The 12,436-nt window shown below is 54.2% G+C and overlaps 1 protein-coding gene across 3 annotated transcripts in view; it reads left to right on the top strand.

Moving 5' to 3' along the window:
* Nucleotides 1-2,781, top strand: part of NTRK1 (neurotrophic receptor tyrosine kinase 1) — a 66,101-nt gene extending 63,320 nt beyond the window's left edge. For all 3 annotated transcript variants that reach the window (NM_001007792.1, NM_002529.4, NM_001012331.2), the window contains 3 exons: nucleotides 53-293; nucleotides 930-1,088; nucleotides 2,388-2,781. In NM_001007792.1, the coding sequence (NP_001007793.1) occupies nucleotides 53-293; nucleotides 930-1,088; nucleotides 2,388-2,573 (586 nt within the window). In that variant the 3' untranslated portion in view covers nucleotides 2,574-2,781. The remainder of the gene's footprint in view (nucleotides 1-52; nucleotides 294-929; nucleotides 1,089-2,387) is intronic.

Raw genomic sequence — 12,436 nt, forward strand, 5'->3', positions numbered from 1 at the left:
TCCTGGGAGTTCTATCCTCCCAGCCTATCCCCTCTCCTTTTCTTGTTCACAGATCCCATGGACCTGATGCCAAGCTGCTGGCTGGTGGGGAGGATGTGGCTCCAGGCCCCCTGGGTCTGGGGCAGCTGCTGGCCGTGGCTAGCCAGGTCGCTGCGGGGATGGTGTACCTGGCGGGTCTGCATTTTGTGCACCGGGACCTGGCCACACGCAACTGTCTAGTGGGCCAGGGACTGGTGGTCAAGATTGGTGATTTTGGCATGAGCAGGGATATCTACAGCACCGACTATTACCGTGTAAGGGTCCTTTGTCCCCAACGCCTTCCCCTGCATCCAAACTGTAGACACCCTGGATCCCAAGACCACTGAGAGCCTGCCCTTGCTAGGATGGCTGCATGGGTCTGAGATTCACTGGCTCTGGTTTTCAACCTACCTCCTCGGCTCCTGGTGGAGGGGGCTCTGTCTCCTTCGCTATCCCAGATGGAAACAGCACCTTCGGTTTTTGCCTCTTAGACCTGAGAGCCACCACTGTTTGTTTATTTATTTATTTAATTTATTTTTTTGAGACGGCGTCTCACTCTGTTGCTAGGCTGGAGTGCAGTGGCACGATCTCGGCTCACTGCAACCTCTGACTCCCTGGTTCAAGCGATTCTCCTGCTTCAGCCTCCCGAGTAGCTGGGATTACAGGCCACACGCCATCACGCCCAACTAATTTTTGTATTTTTAGTAGAGATGGGGTTTCACCATGTTGGCCAGGATGGTCTCGATCTCCTGACCTCGTGATTGCCCACCTCGGCCTCCCAAAGTGCTGGGATTACAGGCGTGAACCACCGAGCTTGTGTATTTATTTTTAATGATGGGGCTGGGGTAGGCTGTGCCTTGACGGGCTGTCCCAGGCGCCCCTGGAATTGATGCAGTGTCCGCCCGTGGCAGGTGGGAGGCCGCACCATGCTGCCCATTCGCTGGATGCCGCCCGAGAGCATCCTGTACCGTAAGTTCACCACCGAGAGCGACGTGTGGAGCTTCGGCGTGGTGCTCTGGGAGATCTTCACCTACGGCAAGCAGCCCTGGTACCAGCTCTCCAACACGGAGGTCAGCCCCGGCCCATGGTCACCCCTTGCTGGCCTCCCCGTCCCATGCCCCTTCAGGTTCCTTTTTCAGGGAACTCGGTTCCCCTTCTGCCCCTCTGCCACAGCCTGTTGGGGGGCCCTTTCCAGCGCCGTGCCCACACTGTGTCCCCTCCACTGTGGCCCTTTTCTTCTCTTCCTCCCTTATTCTTGCCTTCACCTACTGTCCTAAGCCCAGGCCCAGTTGGCCCCTGGGGGAACCTCAAAGTGCTTTGTACAAGGAGCCCAGACCCCCATCCCTAGCTGCATTTTATAGACCTAAGCAGGAATTATCAGAGTGGAAGGGACCAGCACGGGAAGAGGAACCCAGCACAAGAAGGCCCAACACTGCAGCAGGACGGCTGGAGGTTAGACTGTCAGAAGGACAGTCCTACCCCCTCCCCCTGCCCTCCTAGCTGGCCACAGCCAGAGCAGGCCCCAGGTGTTCTGTCTCCCAGAGCAGCTGCCCCCACCCCCTGCTTGGCTCGCAGCTGTCAGTTTCCATTTCTCCTCCTAATGCAGTCTGCTCCCCGGAGGCTGGTGGGGTGGGGGAGAGGGTTATAGATTTTAATTTTCTCAAGCACTGAGAGAAGAAATGGAATTAGTGCCGCCCATAACCCAAGTCCTCTAATAGGGAGGGGGGAAGAAGGGGAAAAGAGGCTCCAGGCCCCTTCTCCAATCACTCCCTGCCACCCTTTCTCCTTTGGATTCCTTGGCTGCTTTAGCAGTTCTTCCTAGAGTCTAACTTTGATCTTTCTTGCTGCAGTTTCTTTTTGGGAGAGCTAGTCAGTCCCACAGAGTGGTATCCCTAGAAGGGAGAAGTAAGGATTGCCCTCTTCTTTAAAATGAAAGCCAGCTATTTTTCACGCCCTTTAACTGCAGTTCTGCTCTATTTTCTTTTCTCTCTCTGGAGCTGAGAGTCAGAGGGCCCTTCTCCTCCTCCTTTCAGCCCCCAACACTAAGCTGATGGATTGATAAATACCTCAGCCCCTCGCCTTCCTCAACCCACCTGGCAAGTCTTCTTAGGATCTGATCCCAGTTTTCTGGAAGCAATCCTACCCCAGCCCAAGCTTCCCATAGTCGAGCCTTAATCCTTCTCACTTCTCAGTGTCAGAGCAGAAATGAATCCTGGGGTTGACTGTGTCCATTCGGGTTATTAGCAGCTAAGAAGCCCAGACGAGTAGTGTGAGCTGCCTTGGGAGCCTCAGTGAGGGCACTGGGACTGGCCTCACTCTCTTGCCCCCAGCCTAGTGGGCTTTCTCCTCTGTCTCTCCGGTGGCCCCAGGCAATCGACTGCATCACGCAGGGACGTGAGTTGGAGCGGCCACGTGCCTGCCCACCAGAGGTCTACGCCATCATGCGGGGCTGCTGGCAGCGGGAGCCCCAGCAACGCCACAGCATCAAGGATGTGCACGCCCGGCTGCAAGCCCTGGCCCAGGCACCTCCTGTCTACCTGGATGTCCTGGGCTAGGGGGCCGGCCCAGGGGCTGGGAGTGGTTAGCCGGAATACTGGGGCCTGCCCTCAGCATCCCCCATAGCTCCCAGCAGCCCCAGGGTGATCTCAAAGTATCTAATTCACCCTCAGCATGTGGGAAGGGACAGGTGGGGGCTGGGAGTAGAGGATGTTCCTGCTTCTCTAGGCAAGGTCCCGTCATAGCAATTATATTTATTATCCCTTGGCTGTGTCTCTTGCCAGTTATTGGGATGACGTCGTTCCAGGAGGGAGGCATTGGGATTCAGGTAGGGGGACAGCTCTCTGGGATCTTCCCCCACTCAGGTTCCCCTCAGCTGCCTACCCCTACTCCATGGACCTGTCACTCTCACCTTTGACTATAGTTTGGATCCCATTCCCATGGTCACCTGGCTCACCTGCTGGTAAGGCAGCCTCTGGTCAAACTTCCTAGACCTTGAGAGCCTAACTGTCAATCTTTGTAGTTCATGTTCAGGAAGGCTGGGCTATAGTGGAAGGGGTGGAAGTTAGATGTACTGGTAGGATGGGAGCGTTGATGGGGTGTCTTCCTTGTATTGGTGTGTCCGGGACAGAGCAAGCACGCAGCAGCAGATGAGAGAGAAACATGTGTGTGTGTGTGTGGGGTGATGGGGGGCAGGAAAGGGACGGAGCTGGACTAAGGATTGATGGAGGCAGGACCCCTTGTTCCTGCCCCTCTGTTACTCTTCTTAGCTCTAGGTGCTTTGATTAGCATCTGGAGGCCAGGTACTGTGTAAAGAGGCTATTTCCTAAGGACAAAGCCATCTCCCTGTCCCATTCTGTCCAAGGGAGTAGGTGAGGTCTCCCCTGTCCTCTGTCCCTTGGAACATGACTGGCCTTAACTGAGTGGTCTGAGGCTCTGTCAGCAGCACTGAGACTGGGCCCCATCATGTCAGGGCACCTGGGCCCTGTCTTCACCTTCCCTAACCCAAAGGCTTGCATTCCACCCAGAGCCAGGGAGGAGCAGCTTCCCCGCCACCCTCAGCCCTATCACTTCCAATCACCTGTCCAGTTCCTGCAATAATGCAAGCTTCCCATGGCTCCTCAGGGCTAATCACATGGCTGTCTCATGTCCCTGGGTGCCAGTCCCACCCCACCCCCACTCCCATGATTCAATCTGTGTCTTATCGCCCCTAGGCCTAGCCCTGTGGTGTGTCTGCCTCTTGTCCAGGCTGGTTAGTGCTAATGGAGGACTGACCCAGGGCTGCAGGCTGATCGATGGGGGAATTGGGGTGTGTGTGTGTGGTTGGTCCCTAAGGGCCAAGTTCACAGGCCTTCCTCTCCTGCCGGGTATGGGTGGGGCTGGTGCCGCATCACCCCTATGAGGGAGGGCACTTAAAGCAGATGGAGCCATCGGGAGGAAAGGGCTTGGGAACATGGTGAGGGATGCAGAGTTGGGGGATCAGATCCAACAGGTGAGCCCAGGGACAGATGCAGAGGGAGAGACAGTGCAGAGAGAGAGACAGGGACAGGACATACAGACATAGTGACATAGAGAGAGACTGCAGAGGGAGATATAAAGACTGAGACATGCAGATAGAGAGAAAGATGGAGACAGACACACAGACATAGCCGGACACACATGGAGAGAGAGGGTGAGACCAGCGCTGCAAACAGACACAGGTACGGCAGTGGCTCAATCAGAGGAAGTCTGGGAGGACATCATGGACTCCCCAGGGGGCTTTCTACCTCACTCACCCCCTCACCTGTGCCCTTTGAGCCTCTCTGCAGGGGCTAGGAGAGGATGGGACACCCAGACGTGGAGGCTCTGTGGGTAGAGACAGGAGGGGACCTGAGGTTTGCCCCATAAAGAGCAGGATAGGGGCATCACTAAAGAGCTGGTTTGGAGGTCAGGTAGCACGAGGGAGCTGCCAGGGCATGTGAACCATTTTCAAGGTTATCAGGCCTCAGATGTGGGGACATCAGAGGCTCTTAAACCATAACCAGAAGTATTGCTGGAAAAGCTGGGCAGGTGAGGTGAGGGATTCTGGGAATAAGGCTTGGACAGGGAAGGGAGATTCCGGGAGAGCATGGGAGAAGGAACTGAATATCTTTCATTGATCTGGGAGCGGGAGCTGGAGCCTGGCACTCCAATCCCTTCAGGTGATCTGGACCTGGGCTTTGTCTTGACTGGTGAGGAGGGGGCTTGCATCCATATTTCCCTCCCCTGAAAGCACCCCATTCCCTCCCCTTCACTGATATACAGATAGGTGTGCACATCAACAGGGAACCTGGCCTACCCCCACACGGCCTAGACACACATGTGCAAACACAGACACATGCACACATATGCACACACATACACAGACACAGAGCCCCCTCCCCAATCACTGGATTCCGCTGTCATTAACAGTGCCCCCCTCCACCTCGCTGTGGCCCTTGCCCCCTCCCTGTTAATTACCTCCTGGCTGTGCCAAGTCCATTAGCTGCCCCCGCCCTGACATACCCCAGGGGCTGAGCACCAGCTGAGATGGATAGCTGCTGGGGGATCGATGGAATGGGGCCCCAAGGACCCCGTGGGGGGCTGGGACCAGGACAACAACCTGAAGCTGTAAAGATCGGACATTTGGGTTCCCCCCAACCTGGCCCAGGCCCCTTCCTTTTCAGAGAGGGCTGTCTTGGTTAAAAGACAGGGGCTCAGAAAGGGTCGTGGGCACCTCAGGAACACCCAGCACTGAAGAAAGAAGCTGGAACTCTCCCGTCTAAGCAAGCCTCTGCCAGCTCCTCCGCATTTACTCTAGAAGGAAAGACTCAGTGGTGCGGAGACCAGTGGGGCTCCCCAGGGGCCTCCAGCACTGGGATGGGGTCTCTAAAGAACGAAGGGGTGCAAGCCACCCTCAATGCTCTCAGCCTTCCTAAGGAGCCTCTGCCTCCTTCCTGCCCTGCTCCCACAGGGGCTGGCTTCCTGACAGGAGAGCAGAGCATCTGTCCAGGTTTCCAGGAAAAGGACAGGCAGAGTGCTAGGACAGCCTTGGTGGAGAGTGACCCAGCCTGTGGCCCCTTGCATCCCCAGGCCAAAGACAGAACCTAGAGAGAATTCCAGACGACAGAGGCCCTGGCCTTTCTAAGTACGAGCTGGAGAGAGCCTGTCTTGCCAAATTCCTGAAGCAGCGTTGGACAAGCTGCCCAGCAGGGGTAGGGGAGGGGGATTCTTCTGGTAGGAGCCAGGACCCAGGAATCCAGACTTTCAGCCCGCTGCTTACTGAACTGCCAGGCGACTCAGGCACCCCTGGGATGCTGGGGAGTGAGGTGGCCCCATTGCTCTAAGCAACAGTACCCTCCCAGACTGTCTCTCTCTGTCTCCCACCCCAGCGCGGATGGACTCCCGTGCTAAGATGGAAAGTTTGAGCAGCAGTGGCTCTGGAGTGGTGGGCAGGATGGAGATCTGGAGGCAGGAAAGACAGACAAGACAGGCCAGAGCTGCAGGAGGAGCCCACACGGCGGGGCAAGGAGGGGCAGAGAGGAGAGGCAACCCAGATCCATGCAGAGACTCAGCCCTGCATGTGCAGGGAACAGAGAAGAAGGCAGAGAGCCTGAGATACAGGACAGAACCCAAGAGCCACAGAAGCAGAGCCTCAGAGGCCATGCGCTTTTCATGAGCCCTGCTTCTAGTCCAGCCCTGGGGACGAGAGGCTCTTGAGCCCACCGCCTACTGAACTGGGCCCCATTCCTCTTCTTAAAGGGCTATGTTTCCTGGTGCTTAAGCCTCTAGATTCTGGAATCTGGTTGTGCCACTTACCAGCTGTGTGACATTGGGCAAGTTACTCAACCTTTCTGTACTTTAGTCTCCTCCTCTGCAAAATGAGGATAATAATAGCAATAACCTCACAGGATTGTTATGAGGTTTAAACAAGTCCCATGTGGAGAGCTCTCCCTGTAGGGCCTGGCCTTAGTAGCTGCTATGTAAAAACACTCTCTCCCCCTCCTTCTTTCCCTCCCTATCCTTCCTCCTCCTCTCTATCCTGCCAGCCGAGGCCCTAGCCCTGGTATGTGGAGGTGAGGCAGGTTGTATGTTTTGAAGGGATAGTGCTTGCAGAAGAGAAGCTCTTATTCCCTGATCCCAACCACTCCCTCTAGCTGCAGGGGACTTGCCAGGCTGCAGAGAGTGTGAGGTGAGGAAGGGCCTTCTCCCTCCCTCTGACACCCTGTGGGCTCCAGGTCCCTGCGCTGATCCAGAAGGCCCTGATGTAGGAAGAGCCTCCAGCCTCCCCTGCCCCGTGTCCCTCGTTTACTCTTCTCCTACTCCCTGATTTTCCCTAGTGAGAATTTCTCTCTCAGCTCACCGCCTCTGGGCAGCCCTCCGGGATTGGACAGGGAACTTTGTACCCTTGAAGGGTGTTTCTGAGGACACAAATCCTCGTAGACCCTGAGACAGGTCTCCAAGAGTATGGACCTGGAGTGCGAAACATGCCTTAAAGGCTTTGTATCCCTTATCCCTGTGGCCTCCTGTTCCTGAGTGCCAGGAAGTCCTTCCTACAGTCTACCCTCGTGCTTCCCACCTGGATCTGAAGGGGTTACACAGCTCCAGGCCCGCCCACGGCAGGTCCCAGCTGCCTGGGGCCTGTGGTCAGAGCTAATGTAGGCGAGAGTTGGAGGACAAGAGGGGATAAAGTTATTAGCGTCTTCATCTTTGAGGAATATCGATCGCCAGGTCTCCAGGCTCACTTGGTCTTATAATGGGGCTCACGGGGGTGTTGGGAGGGGCTCAGAAAACTCTCACAAATCCCTTTACCCATATCCTGGAGTGGGCACTGGGCTACCCATGTCTGCTGAAAGGAAGATAGGCAGAGACACAGTTTGGGAGGCGAGTGGCCTGGGAGGCAGGAGTGAGGCAGGGCTGAGAGGGGAGTCAGGGCTTGGCAACCTGGGCAAGGAGCAGACTGGAATGGGCTTGATTTCAGTTCACTACACTTTACTTTAAGGTTGAGTGTGTGTGTGTGTGTGTGTGTGTGACACACAGAAAGACAGAAAGAGAGAGAAAGTGAGCGAGAGAGGGAGAGAGAGAGAAAGGGAGAGCTTTCCCAATTGAGTTAGAGAGGTCCACGAGGGCTGCCCAAGAGCGAGGAAGGACTCCCTCCCCCCAGGCTCATGTACACAGGCTGGCCCACCAACCCCACCCTCCTGCCTGCTCCTCCAGCACTTGGATGCTCTGAAACACCTTCCCTGCCCTCTCCAGGCAGCTGTCTGGTGCTCCTTTGAATGGGATGTTCTTGATGTGATTTCATGTGTGATGGTGAAGGGTACCTCACAGTGGAGCATGTCACCCCTTCCCACCCAGGGTGATTCTGGTCCCAGTATATCTGGGTTTGTGTTTGTGTGTGACAGTCCTTGTGAGAAGGTCTGTGTAAACTCAGCTCTCTGCATGGGTCTGTGCAAATTCGTGCTCCTAATCTGAAATCAGAAGGGATGTAGGCTGGGGACAGGGCTCAGGGATCTGGCTGTCCAACCCCTCCAGGGAGGTCCCCCTATGGGTGTTTCCAGCCAGAAGTTTCCAGCTCCTGGCTGACTGGAGACGGAGCTTAGACTGTAGAAAGACCCTGAGGGGAGAGCAGCAGGGTCTGGGAACTGAAAGGCGAAAGGCACAACTCCCTCCCCTCTCCCTTCTTTCTTCCCTCCCTCCCTCGCTTCCTTCCTCCCTCCCTCCCTCCCTCCCTCCCTCCCTCCCTCCCTCCCTTCCTTCCTTCCTTCCTTCCTTCCACTTCTGTTCTTCCTCTCTTCCTCCCTTTTTCTTTGGAAGCAGGGAGGAAGGAGTAGAGGAGGCTTCTCTGGCCAAGGGGGGTCAGAAGCTCTGGCTCTTTCCTCTGGAGGAGCTGGCGTCCCCTCTGCTGGGCTGGGAGAGGAGGTAATTAATGACAAGGAGGCCAGGAGGGGTGAGTGCTCAAGGCTAATGTTGGTATTAATCAGGAGCTGGTCCCCAGCGAGGGATAGGATTCAGCTGGGGCGCTGTGTGTGTGTTGGGGGTGATGGGGGACCAGGAGCTTCTGCCTCATCCCATCAGCCTCCCTCCCTCCCCAGTACCCCCACCACATCCAGCCCTCTTGCTCTTGCCCCTTGCCCTCATTTTTTTTTTCTGGAGGTCCCTCCTGCTGTGTCCTTCAACCTCCTGCTGAGGGAGGGGCGGATCCCTCCTCAAATCCAAGTCCAAGCCGCCCCCTCCCCACAAACCCCTCACCAGCCCTTCCTGCGGGCAGGCACATTAGGTGATTCCTGAGGCTGTCAGCCCTGCTAATTGCCTCTCAACCTTTCCCTCATCACCAAGGCGGCCCCCCACGAACTCCATTAGCCCCCCCTCTCTCCCCTGATAGCCCCTAAATCAGCCCCAATTATTCACAGGAGGGGGAGGTCTGAGCTGAGCTGTGATTACAGCTACAGTGGGGGGTGGTAGTGAGGGATGGGAGTTTGAGTGCCAGGCAGGCTGGTGGGCAGGCCAAAGGCAGAGCTGGGAGGGGGAGAGGAGAGTACGGATTGGGACCCTGTAGGCAGATTCAGACCAGGGACCACACAGGGGCAGGGACCTGAGAGCCTGAGATGGAGGGGGAGGCCAGGCTGGAAGGTGGGCAGCTAGGGGGTCCTGGCTTGTATTTTATGGACCACCCCCTACACACACACACACACACACACACACACACACACTAAGACCCAGGAGGGTGAGGGAGGGGATCAGATGGGCATGGCCCCTGTGAGTGGGCCAGGTCCACCGCTGTCATCAGCACCATTGCCAGGCATTTATGACAAGCTTGGTGGAGAGGAAAGGAGAGCGGCAAGAATGTGCTATCCCTGTGGGACTCCCCTGAGACAACCTCACTGCTCCTTGCAGCCCCTACCCAGGCCAGCCACCCACCGGTGCCATGTGTGGGCACAGAGGCCACTCCCTCCCCCTGTCTGTGTGTTCTGGCTACAGCATCCCTGCAGGACTGTGGGTGAGACATGGAGTGGCATGCACGGTGTGTGCCAACATTTGGCCTGCTGGGGTGAGTGTGTGCAGGAGTTGAGACCAGCCTCCTGCTCACCCTCAGCCGCAGCCTCAGGGAACCCTCTCCGGCCCCTTCCAGGAGCCTAGGACTCCTCACAACCTCCTTCCCACTCCGGAGGGAAGAGGCACCCCCACTCTAATCCCAGCTGCCCTCTGTGAGCCCTTGCGATGTGCTGCGCCCACTCCTCAGCACCTCCACTGGCCTAGCCACCAGGCTGCTCACCCGGATTAGTGCTGCGGCCCCTTCACTGGTCTCCCCATTTCCACTGTTGCTCCCCACAGCCTATTCTCAAAACAGCAATCATTCTCTTAAAATCTGAGTTGGATCATGTCTCTCTTCTGCTTGAAATCCTCTAATGGCTTCCATCTCACGCAAAGCAAAATCAAATCGCCTTATCGCAGCCTAGGAGGGCCTGAAGGATTCGACCCCCATTATGCTTCTGTCTTCAATGTCTGCCACCATGCTCCCCATCACTCACTTGGCTCCACGCTCCAAACAGAGCTACTATTGCTATTCTCTCAATACAGCACACACTCTGGCGCATTTGTACTTGCTGTTTCTTGCTCTTCCCCCAGAAATCTCCATGGCTCCTGCCTTCATCTCCTTTACCTGGAGGTTACCTTTTCAATGACATCTTCTGTAACCACCTTTCCAAGAATTGCACCCCCAGCACTCCCTATTCTCTTCCCTGTTTTATTTCTCTATTTTAAAATGATAGTTCTTTTAATCATCTAATGTGTCATGATTTTCCTGATTTAGCGTCTTTACCATCCCTTCCCCACTACCACTAACAGAATGTTAGCTTCATTTTTTTTCCACTTTCTATATTTAGGCAGAAAATCTTATCTATTTTGTTCATAGCTGTAGCCCCAATGTCTGCATATAGTAGGTGCTCAATAAATCTTTATTCAATGAATAATTGACTCTTTCCCCAATTCACATGTGAGCTCTTTGAGGGCAGGAAACTCTTATTTATTGCTAAAATAAGTTATTAAATAAAGGTTTAAAATAGTACCTGGTAATCCGTAGGAGTAAGTTAGGAAGAGGAGGTAAGTTAAATCAGTAGGAGGCTGGCGCACCAGCATCCCCCACCCCAAAGTTAGTAGTTGCTATTATCATCATCATGGTCATCATCAATGTCATTTCCTGTGTCCTGGGTACTAGGCAGACACAAAATGGTGCCTATTGAACAGCTGAATGAATGAGAACCTCGAGCCTGCATCTGCCTTCCTGGCAGGCCTCAGGGGACGTCCATCCTTTTAGCTATACGTAGGGCTGGGCCCAGCAGGCAGAGCTGGGGGGCAGGGAGCTGGAAGAGCATTGCACAAGGTGGTACTTTATTGAGCACTTACTTTGTGCCAGGCCCTGGGAGCATAAAGATGATTTTGACCTGGCCTCAGTCCTTGAAGAACTCAGAATCCTAGGGAGAGAGACATGTGTGTGTTAAACATTTCATGCCTGAGTGTGGAAGGATGAGAACAAGTGGGCCAGGCAAAGGAAGGGAAGAGCGCCTGCACCTCTTCCTTTTCAGGCCTCAGTCTCCCACTCTGCTCCTTGAAAGTGCTGGATCAGGTGACTTTCAAGGTCCCTCTGGCCTCTGATAGTCTGCAACTCCATGGTCTTTGGCCGCCGGCCCTTGAGCTGTCCTATGGTTTCTGCTGCCCTCTGCTGGAGCCTCTTGGTGACACTGAAGTCCTAAAAAGCCTCCTTGAACCTTTCATTCTTCCTTTTCTTCCCCAAAGCCAACAGCACCATCCAGTCGCCCACCCACACACACCTCTCATCCCTTAAAACACCAATTAAACATCTCTTGCTTGTCTCTGACATCAAAGTTTCCCAGACAAAAGTATTCTCAGTTATACATTTTAGACAATCTGAAACTGAATACGTACATGATTTGTAACTGTTATGACCCAGCAATCCCATTCCTAAGTAGCAATCAAGAGAAATGAAAACATATATATCCACATGAGACTTGTACAAGAATATCCATAGTAGTTTCACTCATAATAGTCCCAAACCAGAAAAGACCAAGGGCCCATCAGCTGGGGTGGGGATAAGACAAGGTTGGTCCATACAGTGGAATTCTACTCATGGTGAGAAGGAGTGGACTTTTCAAAAGCTCTGTGGTAAGTGAAAGAAGCTAAAGGAAAGCAAGCACATATTGTGCAGTTCCATTTATATGGAAATTCTAGAACAAATAAACCTACAGTGACAGAAAGCACATGGGGGATTTCTTTCTTTCTTTTCTTTTTTTTTTTTTTTTTTTTGAGACAGAGTCTCACTCTGTCGCCCAGGCTGGAGTGCAATAGTGCGATCTCGGCTCACTGCAACCTTCACCTCCCAGGTTCAAGTGATCCTCCTGCCTCAGCCTCCTGAGTAGCTGAGATTACAGGCACCCGCCACCATGCCCGGCTAATTTTTGTATTTTCGGTAGAGACAGGGTTTCACCATGTTGGCCAGACTGGTCTTGAACTCCCGACCTCTGCCTGCCTCGGCCTCCCAAAGCGCTGGGATTACTGGCATGAGCCACCACGCCCGGCCTAACAGATCAGAGATTTCACAGGGTTTGGGGTGGGGAGTGAAAATGGAATTTGGAGACATTATCTGCAAAGGGGAGCAGGCAAACTTTGGAGGAGATGGAAATTTAAAAACTTTTTTTTTTATTGGGATGGTGGTTAAACAGATGCACACACATACAAAAAACTCATCGAGCTAGTGTTATGCTAAGTGCAATAAGCCGGACACAAAAGTACAAGTATTCATGATTTCACTTACTTGAGGTATCTAAAACAGACAAATTTATAGAGACAGAAAGTGGAGTAGTGGTTACCAGGGGCTGGGGGCAGGAGGAATGGAAGTTACTGTTTA

Source organism: Homo sapiens, chromosome 1 (genome assembly GCF_000001405.40).
Source record: "Homo sapiens chromosome 1, GRCh38.p14 Primary Assembly".
Classification (NCBI taxonomy): Eukaryota; Metazoa; Chordata; class Mammalia; order Primates; family Hominidae; genus Homo; species Homo sapiens.